The 20989-nt window shown below is 40.2% G+C and overlaps 1 protein-coding gene and 1 long non-coding RNA gene across 4 annotated transcripts in view, besides 3 other annotated features; one reads left to right on the top strand and one right to left on the bottom strand.

Annotated features, from left to right (window-relative positions):
* The window catches only part of RCAN2-DT (RCAN2 divergent transcript), a 41435-nt gene extending 31709 nt beyond the window's left edge, over positions 1-9726 (bottom strand). Inside the window, exon 1 of the long non-coding RNA NR_125837.1 lies at positions 9651-9726. This is a non-coding gene — a long non-coding RNA (RCAN2 divergent transcript). The remainder of the gene's footprint in view (positions 1-9650) is intronic.
* Positions 9707-9766: a silencer, noted in NCBI's record as "silent region_17271". NCBI's record gives its function as "represses an Ori minimal core promoter by ATAC-STARR-seq in GM12878 lymphoblastoid cells {active_cell/tissue: GM12878}" and the evidence as "EXISTENCE:reporter gene assay evidence [ECO:0000049][PMID:35858748]".
* RCAN2 (regulator of calcineurin 2) overlaps positions 9808-20989 on the top strand; it is a 271235-nt gene continuing 260053 nt past the window's right edge. The window contains exon 1 of one of the 3 annotated variants that reach the window (NM_001251973.2): positions 9808-9908. The gene's annotated coding sequence lies outside the window, so the exon portion shown is untranslated. Of the gene's footprint in view, positions 9909-10328; positions 10606-20989 lie in introns of those variants that run through there. The other 2 variants (XM_024446301.2, NM_001251974.2) reach the window with 2 other exon arrangements.
* Positions 10277-10366: a silencer, noted in NCBI's record as "silent region_17270". NCBI's record gives its function as "represses an Ori minimal core promoter by ATAC-STARR-seq in GM12878 lymphoblastoid cells {active_cell/tissue: GM12878}" and the evidence as "EXISTENCE:reporter gene assay evidence [ECO:0000049][PMID:35858748]".
* Positions 13495-14107: an enhancer, noted in NCBI's record as "OCT4-NANOG hESC enhancer chr6:46455408-46456020 (GRCh37/hg19 assembly coordinates)". NCBI's record gives its function as "activates a minimal SCP1, AML or CMV promoter by ChIP-STARR-seq in naive H9 embryonic stem cells {active_cell/tissue: H9 hESC(naive)}" and the evidence as "EXISTENCE:reporter gene assay evidence [ECO:0000049][PMID:30033119]".

Genomic DNA, 20989 nt, shown 5'->3' with positions numbered 1-20989 from the left:
TGTGCTGATGTAGCTCAGGTTTTTAGAAAAGTGAGCTCAAGCTTCAGCGCACATCAGAATCTCCTGGAACTCTTGTTAATTAACATAGGTTTCTGGGTCACCACCCCGAGTTTCTGATTCAATAGATAGAGGGTGGAACTGAGAATTTGCATTTCTAAAAATTTCCCAGGCAGAGGGAAATGCCAGTGCATGGCATGGAAGTGAAAGCTGGGGACAGAAGAGAGAGAAACTGACAGAGAGACAGGATGGACAGTGGCCACCAGACTATAAAGAGCCTTGTCCCATTTAAGTGTAGATGTTATCCAAGAGTAACCAGAGATCCTATTATCAGCCATTAGCACCTTCGCTGAAATTAAGTTATCAGAGTATTCTGTCAATGTGTCAAACCCTGGAGAAATCTGACTCATGCCTCAATTTTGATGGCCCCAATAGATCAGTGTTTCTTCTTTGGAGAATCAACCCACACCAATGAGTCACAGGCACCTGCGGGTGCTCAGTCGTCCAGGCCCCTGTGGCGGGACCTGTGGATTGGATCAGTGATCACACCTGGAATTGCCCATGAGCATCTGCATCCTCATATTCCCCACTCCCCAAATGCACATTGCTTTTATTTGCAGACTTTAAAAAATACAGCACTGGGAGGCTTAGAATGTTGTCTAAGAATGTTATCTCTATATAAATATTTTCCACACTACAAACTGGAAAAAACTTATTTATGTACATATTTTTTACTCCATAGACTGTCAGAAGAATATTAAAAACAAAACACATCCCATCCATCTTTTTGCTTTTTTTTTTTTTTTGTTATTTTTCTCCTTTTGGGCAAACCAAGTAATTAATGAGTTTTAGTTTAACAGATAATTCCTGAATTGCAGTTCCTTGTGCACGCCTGTGTCGGTGTAAGAAATGCAGATAACTTAGCTGCCCTGTGGCTGTTTTCATGCCTGTCATTCTACCAGCACTTTGTACAACTTTACACACTCCAGACACACCAAACCCAAGGAAGATCCAATATGGGTGGCAGTGGCTTTCATCCTGGGGCCACTATGAAGGCAGGTTTGACTACTTGGGGCATGACATGTGGTAACAAAAGGAAAAAGAGAAATCAGAGACAGGCAGTTTTCCTCTGGCATCTGAACAATAATATGGATGTGTCATGACAAAAGGAACAGGGGGAGTCACAAGGAGGAGAACTGCTCTTACTGTTACATCAAAATTGAAGAAGTAGGAGGAGGCTGGAGGTGGAGAGAAATCATATAATAGGAGAAAGTTCTCTGGTGGGTAGAATTTATAGACAGAAAACCCACTGACTGTGGCATCACTACCAATAATAGTTTTAGCCTTACTTCATCCCTCTTGCCTTATAGATAAGATTTATTAACATACTTAAGCAAAGAATTACCCCTGCTTCTACAGCATCTAATCTAGAGCAAAGCACTGCTTCCTTGAGCTCTCCCAAAAATCACTTTAGACACGTTCAAATCCTATAAGTCCTTTCTAACATCCTCTTCCTGTGTGATACTTCAGTAGCTCCATGGTGTGTGTTTACTCTCATTACAATGAGCAACAAACCCAAATTACTCAACTACAGGTATTTTCTTGATGGCCTTTGACTGGAGGACATTGACACTAGAAATTCTTGAGCTATTAGAGACAGACTCAGTTATTTTGACCTTATTTTTTTCAATGAGTATGTGGGTTATTTTCCCACTCCCACCTCCCCCAGCCCAGGAAAGTCTTTAGAGCAATTAAGAGCAACCAAAACTTGTCCATAGGATCACTCACTCTGTTCCCTGACTCAGTGAGCCCTCCTCACTTCTCTACTCTACTCTAAATGCTACCAAGAAAAACTAAAACAAATTAACTTAGAATGTTTTGAGAAGTGCTTCTTCCCTCATTTTCAATTTCACAACTTGACATGAAATATTGTAAACCTAGAATAAATATACATGACAGCCTCTACTTTCAGATCAGAAATCTGGACTACTCCAGTTTATTTTAATTTTAAACCCAGCCCATTTTTATTTTTGCCACTGCAAGGCATGGAACTGTTGCATTAAAAATGTATCTTTTTCATATAACATTACAACACATCTAAATCTATAAGGAATATTCTGAAGTTCATATATGCTACACAGTATTTTTCTAGTGGTAAATGTGGACCAGCTTGATGCAGGAAAAAAGAACAGCTACTTGATTGAAACTCAGAAGACTTGGGGATTTTTAGTCTGAGTTTTCCACAAACCATCACTTTGACCTTGGAAAAGCCATGTTTTCTAAGCCTAAATTCTCCATCATCCATTAAAAATTTATTGAAAATCTGCTCTATTATGCATGATATTAGGATAAGTTGCTAGCTCTATTCCTTAAGTAGTTTGCAAATAATATAATGTGACATACATTGTATAGAAGAAGCATGTTTTTAAAAAGTACTACAGGAGCACTGAAAAGGAAGGCTTAATTCACTCTGCATGGTTGCTAAAAATGGCTGTATTTTCTTATACACAGGAGAACCTATGGTCTCAAACCAGGCTACTTAGGGTCCACTCTGACTCAACTTACCAGGGCTGGGCAATCTATCTGTGTCTTGGTTTCCTGATCTGTAAAGTGGTAATAATAATTGTACCTATCTCATCAGGCATTATAAGGATTACATTAATTTATACGTACAAACTGCAGAGAACAGTGATCGGCAGTTAGCATCCACTCAAAAAACATGTTTAATGTTGTGATTATTTCTAGTTACAGTGCTAGATAATCTGTACATTTCCTCACAGATTCAAACTTCATAATTTTTCCTAGTGTGATAGCAAATAGTCTAAAGTTCTTTCTTTGAATATGTGAGTATGGATCTTTGGAAAATATGAAATCTTTCCTGATTTTCTATACATATGTTAGTAACCTTACTTAAAATAGTTTATAAGCTACCCTGAAGGAAGTTGAGATTTCTTAGCTAACCAGTAAGATCTATAACAAGGATCCATGTCACCCAACTTCAGGCTAGGAGACCTCACATATAACATGGAAAAGACATAGAAAACCCCACAGGCAAGTACAGTGAAGCCATAGCTTATTGCTTGGGTCCTATGCCATGAAGAGGATCAAACATATTAGTCTTCTGGTTACGAGGAAAAAATATGGAAGCTTCAGGGTCCTTATTTCTAAAATAGGGATAATATATATTTCTAAGATCATTGTAAAGATTTAGAGAGAATATTTTCAAAATCAGCCAGTGTGGCATTCGATACATAGTAACATTTTAAAAGTCTGAAATGTTAACTCTAAGAAATAATTGTAGTTCTATTAATTACAAGTAAAACACAGAGTTGCAAATATACATTGAGCATGAGAATTCACTCGAGTTTTCTGACAAGTAGAGCAAAGAGGGAAACAGAAGTTTCATATTCTTGTAGTCAGAAAAGTTAAAATGTCAGAAATTTCTCATATGACCTCCAAGATCCCTTCTTATTTCTGAGATTTTATAAAAACAGGTGTAATAACATCCGAAACTCAGAATCTTAATAGGATTAAATAAAATCATATTTGTGAATGAAAAAAAAAGAAATCTTTCAAGGGTCATAAAGTGACTTTTAATAAAGCCTACACTTGATGAATTGAATTTTTCTCTAAGTCAAGAACAACAAAGCAGGCAAATGTACAAGGGATATATTTCACTCAAAATTCTAAGCTCCATAAGAGCAAACATGTTGTCTTATCCATTGCTATATCCCTAGCACCTACAGCAGTACCTAACACATAGTGGATACTCAACAAATATTTGTTGAATGAATAAATGAATGTTTGGCACATAAAGACAAGTACTTTTTTTTTTTTTTTTTTTTTTTTTTGAGACGGAGTCTCGCTCTGTCGCCCAGGCTGGAGTGCAATGGCACTATCTGGGCTCACTGCAACCTCTGCCTCCTGGGTTCAAGCGATTTTCCTGCCTCAGCCTCCCGAGTAGGTGGGATTATGGGCGCGCGCCACCACACGCCCAGCTAATTTTTGTATTTTTAGTAGAAACAGGGTTTCACCATGTTGGCCAGGATGATCTCCATCTCTTGACATCATGATCCGCCCACCTCAGCCTCCCAAAGAGCTGGGATTACAGGCATGAGCCACTACTCCCAGATGACAAGTACATATTGTAATTCTCTTCAGTTACTTGAATTATGTATAAAGAGTTCTAATTTAATAGAGTGATAATTCTCAACCTATTTTCCCCCATAGACCTAAGAGATATGATGTTCTTATATTAATAATGTCAATTAGAAAAGCATTGCGATCCAACTCAGAGCAGAATGGAAAAGGAGAAGAAGTATGGATATCATGGAAGCACATCAGAATCACAGGAGGAAATATGTATTGTGGGACAGTCCCCAGATTCTGACTGCTCAAAGTGAGCATGACTTTCGTGTGTCCTTTGACAATCACTGACAATGATGGAAGTCTCAAGTGGTGGTCCCCCGGCTCTCACCTCATTCAGTTTTATCACTGACTTAAATAAGGGTGTAGACAACATACTTAGAAAATTTGCCAATGATGCAAATCTGGATGGAATAACAAATACTTAACATACTGAAAGCAAAAATTAAGCTCTGAATGATCTCAGCTTGTGAAATTATAGGATTCATTCTACCATGAATTTTTTGTTTAAAAATTCTACTCTGCAGATAGAGACTGTGAGGTGAGTATTGGGAGAGGTCTATTGTTGTACAGCGAAGTATTTAAAAGACTGAGGGATTATAGTTGAAAGTAAATTCAACATGAATCAACTGAGTGATTTGACAGCAAAATAACCATATAGGCACTTAAGAGGAATTAATAGAAATAGTATCCAGGAGAATGGATATGATGGATCCATTTTACCCTGCTCTGATCACATACACATTCGTATTATTTATTTATTTATTTTGAGACAAGGTCTTGCTTTGTTGCCCAGGCTGGAGTGCAGTGCCATGATCTCGGCTCACTGCAGTCTCAACCCCCTGGGCTCAAGTGATTCTCTCACCTCAGCCTCCCAAGTAGCTAGGACTACAGGCACCCACCACCATGCCCGACTAATTTTTGTATTTTTGTAAAGACATGGTTTTGCCATGTTGCTTAGGCTGGTCTCGAGCTCCTGAGCTCAAGTGATCTGCCCGCCTCGGCCTCCTAAAGTGCTGGAATTACAGGTGTGTGCCACCATGCCTGGCCCTCTTATTTAAAGTCTCTTCTCTCATCTCTTTTCTCTTCTTTCTCTTGCAGGAAGGCAGCATTATATGTGTTGGGCAGAGGAGAGGAGGTCATCAGAGAAAGGATGGTCCAGTAGGAGTTGAGGCTTGTACAAAGAGGGTGCCTGAGTAGGGCAAGGCCCAAAAAAGATTGGAAAAATAAATTTATTGAGGATGATAGGAGCCATGTTTTCCCATTGTTAGAGAAAAGAGGTGTACATTGGAAAGGGGAAAAACTAGAATAAACCCTATGGTGATGGGTTGGAATTGCAGGATTATTGCAAACTCATGGTTTTCAATATATAAAAATAGACATAGAAATAAAGAAGTAAATTTGTATACATATATATGTATAAAATATGTATGCGACGGAAAAGATAACTCACAGAATGGGAGAAAATATTTGTAAATCATATATTTGAGACAAGTTAATATCCAAAATTCCTAAAGGACTCTTACAACCCTACACGAAAAAGACAGACCAATTAAAACATAAGCAAAAGCCAAAAAAATTAAATACTTAGGCATAAATTCAATAAAATATTTACAATATCTCTGTAAGTGAACTTACAAAGCTCTAATAAAAGGAATCAGAGAAGAACTAAATAAATGGAGGGATATCCCATATTTATATATAGGAAGACTCAGTGTGCTCAAGATGTCAGTTATTCCCACCTTGATCTGTAGATTAAATGGCATCCCAGTCTAAATGGCATTATTTTGTGGATGTTGACAAAATGATTCTAGAGTTTATATGGGAAGGCAAAAGATCTGGAGTAGTCAATAAAATATTGAAGGAGAAGAACAATGTCAGAGGACCAAACCAGCTTGACTTTAAGATTTATTGTAAAGCTACAGTAATCAAGAGAGTGTGGTCTGAGTGAAAGGACAAACAAATACATCAGTGGAACAGAATACAGAGCCCAGAAATAGACCCACACAAATATATAGTCAACTTATCTTTGATGAAGGCCAAACACAATACAACAGAGAAAAGATCATCTTTTCAATATATAGTTCTGGAACAAGAGGATACCCGCATGCAGGAAAAAAAAGAGAATCCAGGCACAGACCTTATAACCTTCAAGAAAATTAACTCACAATAGAGAATAGACCAAGATATAAAATTCTAAACCATAAAACTCCTAGAAGATAACATGGAAGAAAATCTAGATAACCTTGGGTTTGGTGATAACTTTTTAGAAACAGTGCAAAAGGTAAAATCTATAAAAAATTGATAAGCTGGACTTTATTAAAAATAAAAACAGGTGGGGCACAGTGGCTCACGCCTGTAATCCCAGCACTTTGGGAGGCTGAGGCGGGTGAACCACGAGGTCAGGAGTTCAAGACCAGCCTTGCCAATATGGTGGAACATTGTCTCTACTAAAAATACAAAAATTAGCCAGGCGCAGTGGTGCGTGCCTGTAGTCCCAGCTACTTGGGAGGCTGAGGCAGAAGAATTGCTTGAACCCAGAAGGCGGAGGTTGCAGTGAGCCAAGATCATGCCACTGCACTCCAGCCTGGGTGACAAAGCGAGATTCCACCTCAAAAAAATAATAAGTAAATAACTAAAAACTGCTCTGCGAAAGACACTGTCAAGAGAATGAGAAGACAAGTACCAGGTAGGAGAAAATATTTATAAAAGACATATCTAATAAAGAACTCTTATTCAAAATACAAAAATAACTCTTACCAATAGAAAACAAGAAAAGCAACATAAGAAAATAATCTGATTAAAAAATGGGCAAAAGATCTGAACTGACGCCTCACCAAAGAAGATGGCAAATAAGGCACCGCAAATGGCTTTAAGCATATAAGTTTGACAAATGGCAAATAAGCATATAAAAATTCTCAACATCATGTCAATAGGCAGCTACAAATCAAAATAATGAGATGCCAATTAGAATGGTGGAAATCCCAAACACTGTCAACACCAAATGCTGGTGAGGATGTGGAGTAACAGGAAGTCTCATTCATTGCTGGTGGCAATGCAAAATGGTATAGCCCCTTCAGCAGAGTTTGTCAGTTTCTTACAAAATTAAACCTACTATATGATCTATCAATCACACTCTTTGATATTTACCCAAACAAGTTGAAAGCTTACATTCACACAAAAACTTGCACATGAATACTTAGAGCAACTTTTTACTTATTGTCAAAACTTGGAAGCAATCAAGTTGTCCTCCAACAGGTGAATGAACAAATAAACTGTGGTATATCCAGACAATGAAATATTATTCAGTGCTAAAAAGAAATGAGTTATTTGAGCCATGAAAAGACAGGGAAACTTACATCCATATTAAGTGAAAGAAGCCAATCTGAAATGACATTCACTTATATGACATTCTGGAAAAGGCAAAACTATGGGGACAATTAGAAATTCAGTGGTTGCCAGAGCTTAGTGGGGAGGATAGAATGAATAGGCAGAGCACAGAGGAGTTTTAAGGCAGTGAAGCTATTCTGTGTGAAACTATAATGGTGGATATAGGTCATTATACACTTGTCTAAACTCAAAAAAGTACACCACCAAGAGTGGATCTGTAAACTACGGACTTTGGTTGATAATGTTGTGTTCATGTAGCTTTATTCATTGTATTACTCCTGTGTCAGACTTTGATAGTCAGGGAGACTATGCATATGTGGGGGCAGGCAGTATATGGGAGTTTTCTGTTCTTTCTGCTCAACTTTCCTGTGAACCTAAAAGTTTATATTTATAATGTCACATACAACCATTGAGAGGCAGTCTAGTCTAGTGGGGACTCCAAAGCCAGGTTGTCTAGGTGTGAATTCAGCTTTCCACTTGTTAGCTTCAGCAAGTCATTTATTTAATCTTTCTGTGCTTTCTTTACTATAGGTTAATTATAGTACCTATCTAATAGAGTTGCCATGAAAGTGAAATGAATTAATGTATAAAAATTCATTGGCTTGGAGCGTGGCATATACTAAATGCTCAATAAATGTTAGCAAACCAAAATTCTGATCTTATTTACCACCATCCTTAACATTAGCTACCCTTTAGCCTCACTCCTGCTCTCCAAAATCCTCTTCAAGCTCAGACCCCATCCCATAAACTCTTTTTCTCTCTGTATTTTCTTCTTGCCATTAACATTTGTTTTGCTAGTAACATTTTGTTCTTCTCAAGGTAAACAACATGAGGCTGTTTGTCACTTTTCATTTTTTTCCTCATTTATTATGCTTCCTTCTTCACACAAACTGACAAACACAGAATTTCTCTTAGCAGTAGAAGGAGGAATATGTGGCTATGAGAACTCAGAAACAGCATCTAGAAAAGTAACAATATCTATATTTGGTGTTAGGAAAATGGCTATGTTGATTTTGGTAACAGCTAACATATATTGAGTATCACTGTGTGCCAGGCACTGTGCTTAGGTGTTTTACATGTATTACCTCATTTAGTTCTCAGATTAAATCCTGTGTTTTTCCAACTTTTCAAAATTTCTGCAATGAATATATTGCTTCTATAAGCTGAAAATTTTATTTGTAAATGTATATTCACAAAATAATAAATAGTCCCTGTTAAGATGAAAGTCATCAGTTTGACGAAGATTCTAGGAAGTACTCACTAATAATAAGTGAGATTTTGTTTAAAGGGTTGGGGATGCTTTACTTGGAAAGAAAGGGGATCCTGGAGTGCATTAGACATGCTAGCTATTTTTACATATTTTAAAGATAGTTAGAAGAGGAATTTGACTTGGTTTCTTTGGCTTCAAAAAGTAAGGGAGAACTAATGATTAAAGGGAGGCAAGTTTTTGCTCAACTTAAGAATGCCCTTTCAGACAATTCTAACCCAAATGGCAATTATCTAAATCAACGACTAATTACAGATTTATGCATCCAGGGGAAGGCTGAACGAGGGGAAGCCTAAGGTCATTTTCAATTCTGAAATTGTGTTTATGTTAATGCAGATTAATCAGAGAGAAGAGCCAACGTCTCGTCTACCTTTTTTTGTTGAAAACAAACAAAACGTGATTGTATGTCAACTTTGGAAAAAAACAACGTAGTGTGGGTAAGTGAAGAATGATTGTGAATGGACTGCTTCAGTGCAATCGTAATATTGTTATCAGAAAATCAAAAGGCATAAAAAGCAAAAAGAAAACGGCTTATTTATGCAGCAATTCGAAAGATGACAGAACACAAACCTGATTTAAATGTTATTCACTCCCTCCCTCAGATTGGTCTGCACACCTCCTTCCTTTAATTTCCCGCACTCTCCTATGATCTTTTGCATAATTCACATTCTCTTGCCATGAGACTCAGTCCTGTTCCTATCTGTGCCACCCGTAAGCCACAGGCTTCCTTACCCATTTGAGTTGCTTTATTCCGTAAAGCAGAGACTTCTACTGGGGTTAACTTTGTTGAGCAACAGATCTACCCTAGATTGCGATTCACCTTCAGTCCCGTTTGCTGTAGGATACCAACCTCCCACTCACTGTGTCATGGCTCTCACACAATAGGATTCCTTGCAGCCCGAACCCTTCTGTCCTCAGGTCTGATGGCTGCAAATCCTGGCAAAGCTGTGAAGCCCGCGCAGGGCACCCTCAGCGGCCTGGGCTGGGCCGGGCGCAGGGCTCCAGCCAGAGGGCGCCAGCGCCCACCAAGCGCAGAAGCCCGGGAGGACCATCCAGGGGCTCCCCGACATTTCCTCAGTTAGCCAGAGTCGGGGGGCTCAGACATCTGGTAAGAAGAGTCTTTCTCCCAGTACTCCCCCACCACAGTTTGCTTCTCTGACCATTTCTTCTGGGCTGTCGCTGCCCCCTCACCCTCAGCTTAGTATGGGACCCCGAGGAGCCTCTTCCCGCTGAGGCCGGGACTCCTGCAGCCAGGCTCCCACGCCAGGTGCCCGGAGGCTCCTGCGCCCTCCCGGGCACCTGAAGTGGAAAGGAGGGGGTGCGGGGCTGAGGGCAGGGTGAGAGCCCCGGAGGTGCGGTGGGTAGGGGACTGGGGAGGGCGCCGGGTCAGGAGGGAGGAGATGAGAAGAGGCCAGACAGGGGCTTTCGGTTTCCCTGGGTCTGATTGGAGGTTGGCCCGATGAGTCGGAGCTGGGGACGCGCCCATCTCCGCCGGCTCCTGCGAGAGCCGCCGGCTCAGCCCCTCCCTGGAGCCGCTTTGTCCCGGGTGACGGCGGCGGAGGTTGCGGGGAGGAGCGGGCAGCAGGCAGAATCCCACTGACCCACGGCGGCAGAGAGAGGGAGGCGGGGCGCGCCGCGCCGCGTACGGCCCCACGCAAAGGCCCGCGGGCACCGCGCCGCCCCCACGCGCTCGCACCGGCGGGCAGGTGAGCAGGCAGCGCCGCGCGCTAGCAGCTGGCCCCCGTAGACGCCCCAGCCGCCGCCTCCGCCTCCGCCTCCGCCGGCGCATCGCGGACGCCCAGCAGGTCGGTTATGTAACCGCGCCGGCCAGGCTCGCCCAGGCACCCCGTCCCGCCGGGGCTGACAGCAGCCCCGGGGTCGTGCCGGGGGTCCGCGGCGGGGATCTGGTCTCCGGGCCGGGTCTGGGTGCAGGGCGGGGGCGGGGGCGGGGGCGGGGGCGGTGGCGGGGGTGGGGGCAGTGGCGGGGGTGGGGTTTGTCTCCAGATCTGTGGTCAGTCCCGGCTGCGGCCGTGGGGACGGAGATCTCCCGCGACCCCCCTCTAGGGGGCGCGGGTCCAAAGGAGCCCCTTCCCCACTGCCCGTGGCCCGGGGGTTTGCCTTCCTGGAAGCAGCAGCAGGTGCATAAGTGAAGGAGCGAGGATGACGCCTGTGATCCCCGGGACTGAGGCTTAGAGAGGGTCTAGAAGAGACTAACTGGATGCAGAGAGCAAAGAAGATCGAGAGATCCCTTCTTCCCAATGCAGAGGCTGGGGAGGGGGTAGGTGCACTGAGGTGCAGCGGGCTGAGAATTGTCCTGCTTGGGATTAGCGGCCTTGGGTCATCTAAAAATAACTTCAAGTTTGAAAAGTGAAATGGAGCGGAGCGCAGTGTGCCGGGTTCGTCCTGCCTGTGGGATGCTTCGCTCCAGAAGTCACCAGAGGGAACAGGCAAATCCCAGCCGCCTGATCCCTCGGCCGCCTCCAGGTCTCGCTGGTTTCCAGGGTGCCTCGGTTTGCCTTTTAGTTAATGATTTATTCTTCGAGGTACTTCTGCCTATTTCTTATCCCAAAATGAATTATAGCAGAATGCATGCTTTGAATCTTTCCTGTTTCTTACAATGGGATAGAGGTGTTCAACTGCCAAATGAAGTTTTTTTAAGTCTCAGTTTAGTAAAAACAAAAGTTTCTGGGGTTCCTTTAATATGCATTCCCACAGTTTTCCACAATTGGAGATGAAGGGATGTCACAGCATTCCAGCTCACACTTCTCTCTCCCTTCAGCCAGAATTTCACTCAACTTATCATGCAGAGGGGAGGCTTTAGGAAATGTAGGACAACTTTAACAGTGCAACTCAAGTTTCACACCTTTGTTATCCTTTATTACATCACTTCAAAACGAAGAACAAATGTACCACAAGGTACCACGCAACACTTGCTAACCGGCCTCTGCATTCTGGGGGCACAGTGAAGTTGGAAATACCCAAAAGCTGGAAAGGATCAAGAGGCAGGTCAGCATTGACTGTCAACTAGGCAGGAGAGTGAGCATTTGGCTGCTTTTCAGTGTAGTCATTGATTTTCTTTAGCCTTAGAGCTATTATATTAAGTATGATCAGCCATTGAGTTCAATTAGTCTAAAATGTGAGTTGCACTTTGCATTCAAATCCACTGCAAATCAAATCAGCATTTACTGAGCATCTACTACCTGAGTCCAGTCCATAGAATTTTGTGAGGGAAAAGTGTTCTCATCTAAAGCTACATGATTCTGAGAGCTCTCAAAATGCTTAGTGTGTGCAGGTCCTCCAGAACTCACCTAAATTTGGGAGGGCATGACTCTTTCTCCAGTGATGAACGTGTAACAGACAGAAGTGGGAACTCGAGAGCTTTCTCATTTGTAAGTGCACATCACGGTGTTAAAAACCACTTGTGTAATCATTTGCAGACAGTCATACATATCACAAATTCTTTTTATTGAGACTAACATTGACAATCACCGAGGTCTCATTTTCCTATTTTACGTTCTGTAGCATCCACTCGATCAATTCAATAATTATTTGTTGAGCACCTCCTGTGTGCTTTGTAGGTCCTGTGCCAGAGGCTAAAAGAATGAGGCCCATGCCTCCCAGAAATCAATTTAGCAGAAAAGGAGAAGAAAATAAATGGTAATGATTCAACATCATGAGTGTTTAATGAAGACAGAAACAAGTTTAATGGGAGCCAACAGAAGAAAGAGTGGAGGGAATCTGGAAGAGTTTAAAGAAGAGTTTACATTTGGTCTGGATCCCAATAGGTGGTAGGAGTTGTCTAGAGAAGGGGCTGGGTATTCCACACTGAAGGAACAGCATACACACATGGCAGAAAGGTCACATTCAGAGGACACCTACATGTTCTGAGGGAAGACAGGAATGTTTAGAAAGGTTTCACTGAAGCTGGATTGTGAATATACCCTGCTAAGGAGGAGAAACCATGTGGCCCTTAATGGTAGGAATGATTTCATCTAACTTACATTTTGCAAAAGTGACTGTGGAGGTGTGAGGAGGTGGGGTTGCAAAAAGGAATGAGGAGACTTTAGACCATTGGAGTGGCACAGACCAAAACAAAACAAAAACCAGAAAACTTATGAAATGTGCCTGAACCAGATGGCCTGGAGGAAAGAGAAGAGATCTATACAGAGCCATTTCAGGGGGAGGATCGGTAGCATTGGTCACCAAGTGGATGGTGGTATGGAAGGAGAAGCTTAGATGTCTAGAGGATGGTCAGGCTTTTAACTGAGGGAGTAAATAAGAGGAGACTTGAGAAAGATGGAGAATTTTTATTTTGAACAACCAAATGAAAATGTTCAGTAGGCACTTTTATTTTCAAATGTAATTTCTTCATTTCTGGTGCTAACCTTCTACTGATCTTACTTCTCTTCATTTCTGAGACTGTGTAAGGTTGCTTTTAGAGAAGAAGGAGAGACAAACTTAATAGCAGGAAGTTGTTTCTACCTTTATCCCCAAAAGTGGTAGTATGAACTCAGTTATTTGAACTACTACTAGTGGTAACAGTGATAATAATGATAATGATAATATCTAACATTTATTCAGTGCTTACTACATACTGAACACAAGGAAGTTAGAACTGTACCTGGTTTATCACATCTGATCTTCCCACTAACCTTATGAGGCAGGCACTGTTGTTATTCTCAGATGACTGACAAGAAAACCAAGGCAAAGAGAGGATATCTTGCGTGGGTCACACAGTTTGTAAGACGTGCACCTAGAATTGAAGCCCAGGCTCTGACCAGCATTCTGAATTACCAATGTGAATTAATAGCATTAAAATAATTCTTTTTTATCCTGGAATGTGTTTTTTGCCCTAGGTTTGGATATTTTTGGCTGATGCCACAAAAGAGAACTGGACTGAGTCAGGAGTCCTGGCTTTTGACTGGGCTCTACACCTGATTTGCTGTGTGATGTTTGCAAAGTCACATCCCATCTCAGGCTTTTGTTATTTTAAATCTGTATATTCATGGAACAAGAGGTCGGTTAGATGCTCTCTAGGGAGTGTGACATTCTGAAGTCTTGCTGTTTGCTTTCTCAAATTCTCTGCTACTAGAACCATTGGTTTGGGTTAAGGTCGTACCTGTCTGGTCACTTAGAGGATAGAAATACTTCAAAGAGGATTAACACAAATGGTGGCTTCTCCTTAATAGTTTGGTGTGAACTGATCCATTTTACAGAGCTAATGGGAGTGCCTGAGGTTGGGGAAGCATGGTCCTGGAAGGGGAACCCTGCCTGCCTGGGCACTAAAGTAGAGGAATCTCCATGGTCACTTACCAGTTTCTTTTCTTTAGACATGTTGCTTTAACTCTATGAGAGTTTCCTCATGTCTGAGAAACTGGGGCAATTAATGCACATATTGTGAGATTATTGTGAGGATTGAAGCAGTACTATAAACCAGGCACCACATACAAGTCCGTCTCAGTGAAGGTGCTCAGGAAATGGAGGTCCCACCCTTTGCCGCCAGGGTAAACGACATGTAGAAAGGGAAAGGTAGAGTGTTTCTGAAGACAAAGTTTCCTACTTCATAGCTTTGATAGGGGCCACCTCTTAGTTGAGTATCATCTATTTATCTAAGAAAGAAGTGTATGTTGGTAGTATAAAAACACACAGCACATTAAATAACTTCCAAAATGTGCATCTCTGAAGTATTCATTAATAGGTTACCTTCTTAGAGATAAAGAAGCGTCAACATTCCACAACACAGAGTTTTCAATTCTTCTTTTGCCAGCTTATAAGGAGGCCAATGTTGCTGTAAATAAAGAAATAGTATTGCCAAGGTTGGTCATACTGGATTCTATTATTATGGCATAGAATAGAGAGGGGACAGAATGATTTTCTGTTCTGTGTGTGTCTGTGCACAGATATGTGCTTTGTCTTCCTGAAGAATTTTCTGCCTCTGCCTGTAAAGTGTTCACTGTTCTTGTGTCTTTTCACTTGTTACCAACTCTAGGTGTCATATATTGTAAGTTAAATTAATTAGTTGAGGAATATTTTTAAAGATGGAAGCAGCTTTAAACTCAATGGAAACTTCAAAAATCCCTTAAAAATGATAAAGTGAGTGACCATGAATGGTACTTTCCAGAAGTTAAAGAAATGCTTCCAAATACAATTCAAACTCCCTGCAGTTCAGAATGCCCACAGAAAATATTTTTTATAGTATGGATGGAAACAGCCTTATTTTCATATCTGATCTTCTATATTCAACTTACTGCAAGACAAGGGATAAAATTTTGGAATCCTAAGCTTTGGAATGTATGCATAAAAAGACATTGTAATGGTAGCTATTGGACCAAAAAAATGTATTATTTTAGAACACGGTCCTAGATTTTATCACTGTTTCTTAGTTCTTTGTGGGAATAATTGCTTTATTATATCATGTAACTGAGATTTGCCTGTTCCAAAATATTATAATTTCTCTGAAGACTCGGGCCATGCCTTAGTACTTCTCATACAGTGTTGGGAATGAAGTATAAAGAACATGGACTTGGCATGAAAAAGCCTGGATCTCAATCCTGGTGCTGTCATTTCCCTGCTATGTGACCTTGAGCTTCCCATTGACCTAACAGTCATAGGAACTGGCATTTGTTGAATGCTGCCCCTGTTCCAGATGCTTTGCTCAGCATGCTACATACGTTATCTCATTTAATCCTTACAACAACTCCACAAGGTGGGTATTATCATCACTATTTACAGAAAAGCACACCCTGAGGATCAGGGGGAATAAGCCACTCAGTGCCGGTTCTCTGAGTTGCAGTTTTCTTATCTGTACAATTAGGAAAATAATACCTTATCTCCCCACTTTACAAAGGTGTGAGGGTGATGTACTATGAGTTTGTGAATGTGCACAGAAAAATGGAATGCTCTGCACAGATGTTGAGGATGATTGTCACAATAGGGACCTACTAATAACAAGAAATCAATTATAGGTGGGCCTGGTATAGTACCATGGCTGTGAGAAGAAAGATGTCCAATGCATATAAAATACATTTATATAATGCATTAAGAATGTTGTATTTCCTTGCCCTGTTCTTTGGTACAAATAGCTTGTTTTTTGGGGGGGTAACTTATTTGTTGTCAGTACCAATGTGGGTCAGGTCAGGCCAGAGCTGATCAGGACATGGAACTGGGTCCAGCTGGTGAAGGGGGAAGGAGACTGTGGTTTGAAGAGAAGAGGTACTGCCAGAGGGGTGTTTTAGTATAAACAGAGAAGGGTGAAAGTCAAAGCCAAGGTTGAGGAAAGGATAGGCATGATGTGGAGTGCAAGAAGGAGTCATCATCAGGGTTTACATCAAGCGTGAGTGACAGGCAGAACATGGAGTCTGCTCATGAAGGCTAGAAATATTTTCCACTGTCTGCTGAGGCATGTCCACTCAGCAGGAAAACAGGGACCCTCTGCCCTGAAGTTTTAATGTTTTGTTTTTTTTCTTGGACATATGTGCTTTCTAGAAAAACTTTGGAAAACACAGGAAAGTATAAAAAGAGAGAATTAAAATAACACATATTACCATGAGCAATTGACAATTACTATAAACATATTGATGTACTTTTCACTTTTTATATGCATATTTTTATAGAAATGGAATTATAACTGTGTACAGAATTTTGCATTCTGTGCATTTCACTGAAAATTTAAAATAACTTTCATATGAAGCCAATAATCTTTTTGAATATTTTTCTCATTAGCTGCATAGCATTTCCACGCATAATTTTATCGTAATTCATTTACGCTTTCCTCTATTGTTGAACATTCAGATTGTTCCCAATTATTTAAGATATCATATATACTACCTTGATAAACATCTTTGAGCACAATTTTTTTCTATGTTTTGGATTATTTTCTTAGGACAGATTGTTAGAAGTGGGACTATTGGCTCAAACAGATAGACCTTCTTAAAGCTTTCTCTGTATACTGACATTGCTTTTAATTGTTTTTTTAGCGGGTTATACTAATGAACTTTCCCACAAGCAATGCAGGAGAATACAGATGTCACCTCTGTCCTTCTTGTAAGCACTCTTTTTGGTGAAGATAAGGGCTTGATGGTGTTAGTGCTTTCCAGAGATAGCCCCTACCCTGGAAATATTCATGCCTAACAATTGGTTCAAGGAAGTTAGGCTTTCTTTTAGGGAGTTGAAGATGAGTGGGTGGGGATCTGGTAGATTCAGCATACATGAGTGTTTGTAGGAAAGTTGATTTCTGTGGATGGCTTCTCTCCTGATGTTTCCGTTATCAGTGGCCTGGCCCATGGATACAGCAGCCTCAGTGAGACCTGACTGCTGACAGCTGTCATCACAGCCTGCTGATCTGCTAACGCGGACTTATGCTAAGTAGAATAGAACAAACTCTGCTTATGTGAGAACTGCTTCAGTTTGCTTCTTCTGGCTTCTCAATTCAGCAAAAACAGTTTATAAATCCTGAAAAGTTATCCTGGAAGATATTGACAGCAAATATGGGCACTTATTTGCATTAGTTCTGTTGTTGCTTTAGCTGGTTTTGACCAGCTCCCCTTCTGCTTTTGGGCAAGCTTCAGACAGGCAGGTCTTTGTTCACCTACTCAATGAGACACGACGCAGAGAAAACCATTTTGAATAAATCACTAAGATAACCGTTGGAATCTTCTTAAAAATCACTTAAGTGGTCATTTTTCTAATTTGATGACTATTCAAATTAGTCTTTTCAAAGAAAAAAAGGCTCTACATTTACTATTAGGCTACCATATCAATTATAGTATTTTGATTATATTGACCAATTTATTGAGGTAAACAGCCAATTTGAATTATTTTCCCCCATAAATTTGTCTGAAAGTCAGGCTAGATTAATTTAATTGATTATTTATTTTGACTTCTGTAACTGTTAAAGCTAAAAGTCCAGTATCTGGCCAAGACAAATCAATGCTCAGTTTATACTTCTCTTATGAGGTTTAATAATTTATCAAGAAAGAAATTATTTATTTGATTACAGATATCAGCACCTGAATTTTGAAATAGCAATGTAAATTCAGATAAATTAATGGTGGTTCAAACAAAATTTTATTTGCTCAACAGCAAAATTTCTTAGCCTTGACAAGTGAAAACTAATAATTCGTGAATAGGTTACTTTTGTCCTGCTGTGGGCATTAATATTTATTTGATCTTTTATGACATACAAGCAACTATTTATTTTAAAAAGTGTCACATTTTGGTCAGGAAAGATATTTAGCAACTGGCATATCACAAAATGTGTTTTTTTGGTAGCTTTTATTTTCTTATTTCTCTGTCTCTTGGTGACTTCTGTTCTGCCCATTACACTTCAAAATTTGACAAGGTAAACAAAAAAAATTTGACAAGGTGACATTTAGGTGATGCTCTGAGTTGAATTACTTACTCAGTCAGATTTTCAAAGGCTGACCTTCTGACCTTGTGTCTAAGTGCCACAACACATGAACACTGTGGGGATTCTTGGCTTGCACCCTGGATGCTGGTTTGGTTTCAGCCTCCTGAGATATCATGGGTGGGGAGAGGAGATTTCCTTCCCATTCTGTTTGTAATCACACTGGGAGGTTCAGTGTCTGTTGTTCTGGAAGGTTAAGAGGGCTATCATAGCCCCTACGTGTATGCAGACTGATTTGGAAGGGTCAGCTCCAGGTGGAGGTGAGATGGAATGGTAAACCTGAAGAGCTTCCTGTGGCTCCTCTGGATCTAAATTACCTTCATCGAGCCAACAACTACTTCCTTCAGGCTGTGTGAAAACTGCTGAGATAATTAAAGTGGAAACTAAGGACATTAAGAAACTTAGAATGTCTCTAGATGGGATCACTTATGTTCTAGTGTAATTTTCGATAGCTTACATGGGACATGGGGCAGTCCACAGTGTGCTTGTGGGGAAATCTAGGTGAGCGGTTTCCCCTGTGCTCCTTCCTACCAGACAGCTCCCAGGAAGCCATATGGCAAGCACTGAAGGGAATGACCATGTATGATTCATGGAATGACCTTTAGGGTCTCCAAAAGTAGAATGCCCAAATGTGGCAGCTCCTCATAATGCTTTCAGTTTTGTTCCTTAAAATAACCTTTAAAATCTTATGCTTATACAAAGATGACTATTTATCAAAAGACTTTTGTCTTGGGTGATAAAGATTAAACATATGCCATGCTTTTGGTGCTTTTTACCCTTCATTTAGCCTCTTCCTCTTTGCTCAACCATTATGATGTCCTCACAACCTCTCCTGGCTATTGGCTTACAGTTCAAGCCAAGGTGTGATACTATGAGAAGGTTATTTTATCTGAGTAAAACTAGAAATATCTTAATGGATATTCATGAAAACTAATCCTAGGTAATTTTATGACAGTATAACTTTCAAGGGCATATCTTTTAGGAAAGAAAATCCAAATAATAATGCAGGTTAGAGACCTTTACCTAACTGGTGTTTGGGACCCATTTCCATTTATCTGGGAGCCTGACATGGTGGATTTCCCAACAGACCACAACAGCACTCCTGCCCCATTTCCAAAAACACAATCCCAGATCATGGCAGAATCCTCCCTTTCACTGTTTAGGGACTTTACCTTTAGCCTGTTTTCATTCTTCTTCTCTCACCTCTCTCAATGATCCTAGGGCTTGAAAACAAAGAGATATTATTCCTTTTCCAAAAAAGGGGACTGGTATTCAGATGGCAGAATATATACACATAGCTAAAGCATATTAAATTTAATATCCTTTAATATTAAATTAATATTATTTTTAATATTAAAAAATGTATTAGTAATTTGAGGTCAGTTGATGAGCATCTAACCTTGGTTCTTTATCTAGAAGTGGTTCTTTATCTAGAAATGGTTCATAATCTAGTTTAGTGAGAGCTTATCTTTAAGATAACAGTTTTTTCCCCAAGTGTTTTTTACTCAGTTTTTATTATTCCTTTTTGGATCAGCCAGTCCTTTGAGTGATTTTCCAAAGTATCAAAATTATGCCTCTTCTTGCTTTTAGATTTTTTCCTATTGAGATATTTACATGCAGCCTTTATAATATCCTAATCATTGCTTAAACACACCATTCCTATACCTCTTTCTTTATCCTAGGGTTGGTTTATGCTAATATCGAGATGAAGTTATTCTCAAATTGTAGGGTTTCTGTCATTCGTATCTATTGTCAATCATGGCAATGTAAATGCTGCCAAATATATGCATTTTTTTCCTAGTTGCAAATTGACTTTTTATGGCTACTTATTAGAGAACCCCAGGAGGCCAATAGTAATAATTGAGACACAGCTGCCAGAGACCAGATATTACTTCTTCAGCTTCCTATTCTAATAAATAATGAACCACCAAGTTGTTTATAAATAAATCAAAAGTCTTTGTAACAAATAACAAACTAAGAAGCAAATGCATACAATTTTCAGATATGAAGAGTTATAGAAATGTGAGATATAATAATAATCAGAGTAAGAATTATTTTACTAATGAGAACCAATTTAGAGAACACTGCAACTATATAAAATTATAATTGGATTTTCTCCCATCTCTATTTCTTGAAATTCAAGACTTTCTTCAAATTCCATCTCTTTTGTATTTCTTCAATTCCTGAGCCCTCAAAAGAGCTATCACTCTTTGTTGAACCTGCATTTATGGCACATCCATAGATAACCTATATATCTTATTCACTCATATATTTCATTAATTCATTTACCTCTACTATGAATCAGGTGTGCTGACCACTAGGGTATAAAAACCAGTAAGACATAATCCCCATCTTTAGGGAAATTAGAGTTCAGTAGACTTTAAGTTTCTTACTTGTTTATCTACACCTCCCTGTAGACAATAAGTGCCCCCAGGGTGAAGACTGCACCTACTCATTCATCGCCATGGCCCCTGCTACACTCATCACTATGGCTTGCATATGGCGGGCACTCAGTCAGTGGTAAAATGAACTGACTATCCATCATATTTATTCTAAATAATTCGGAAACACGAACTTGAAGATATCAACACCTTCAAATGTCTTTAAAGCCTTTGTTCTCTTCACACAATTATTAACTATAAAAACAAGTGGCCGGGCGCAGTGGCTCACGCCTGTAATCCCAGCACTTTGGGAGGCCGAGGCGGGCGTATCACGAGGTCAGGAGATCCAGACCATCCTGGCTAACACAGTGAAACCCTGTCTCTACTAAAACAAAAAATTAG

The sequence above is a fragment of the Homo sapiens genome, chromosome 6, assembly GCF_000001405.40.
Source record: "Homo sapiens chromosome 6, GRCh38.p14 Primary Assembly".
Taxonomy (NCBI): domain Eukaryota; kingdom Metazoa; phylum Chordata; class Mammalia; order Primates; family Hominidae; genus Homo; species Homo sapiens.
This window is presented reverse-complemented; position numbering and strand designations above follow the sequence as displayed.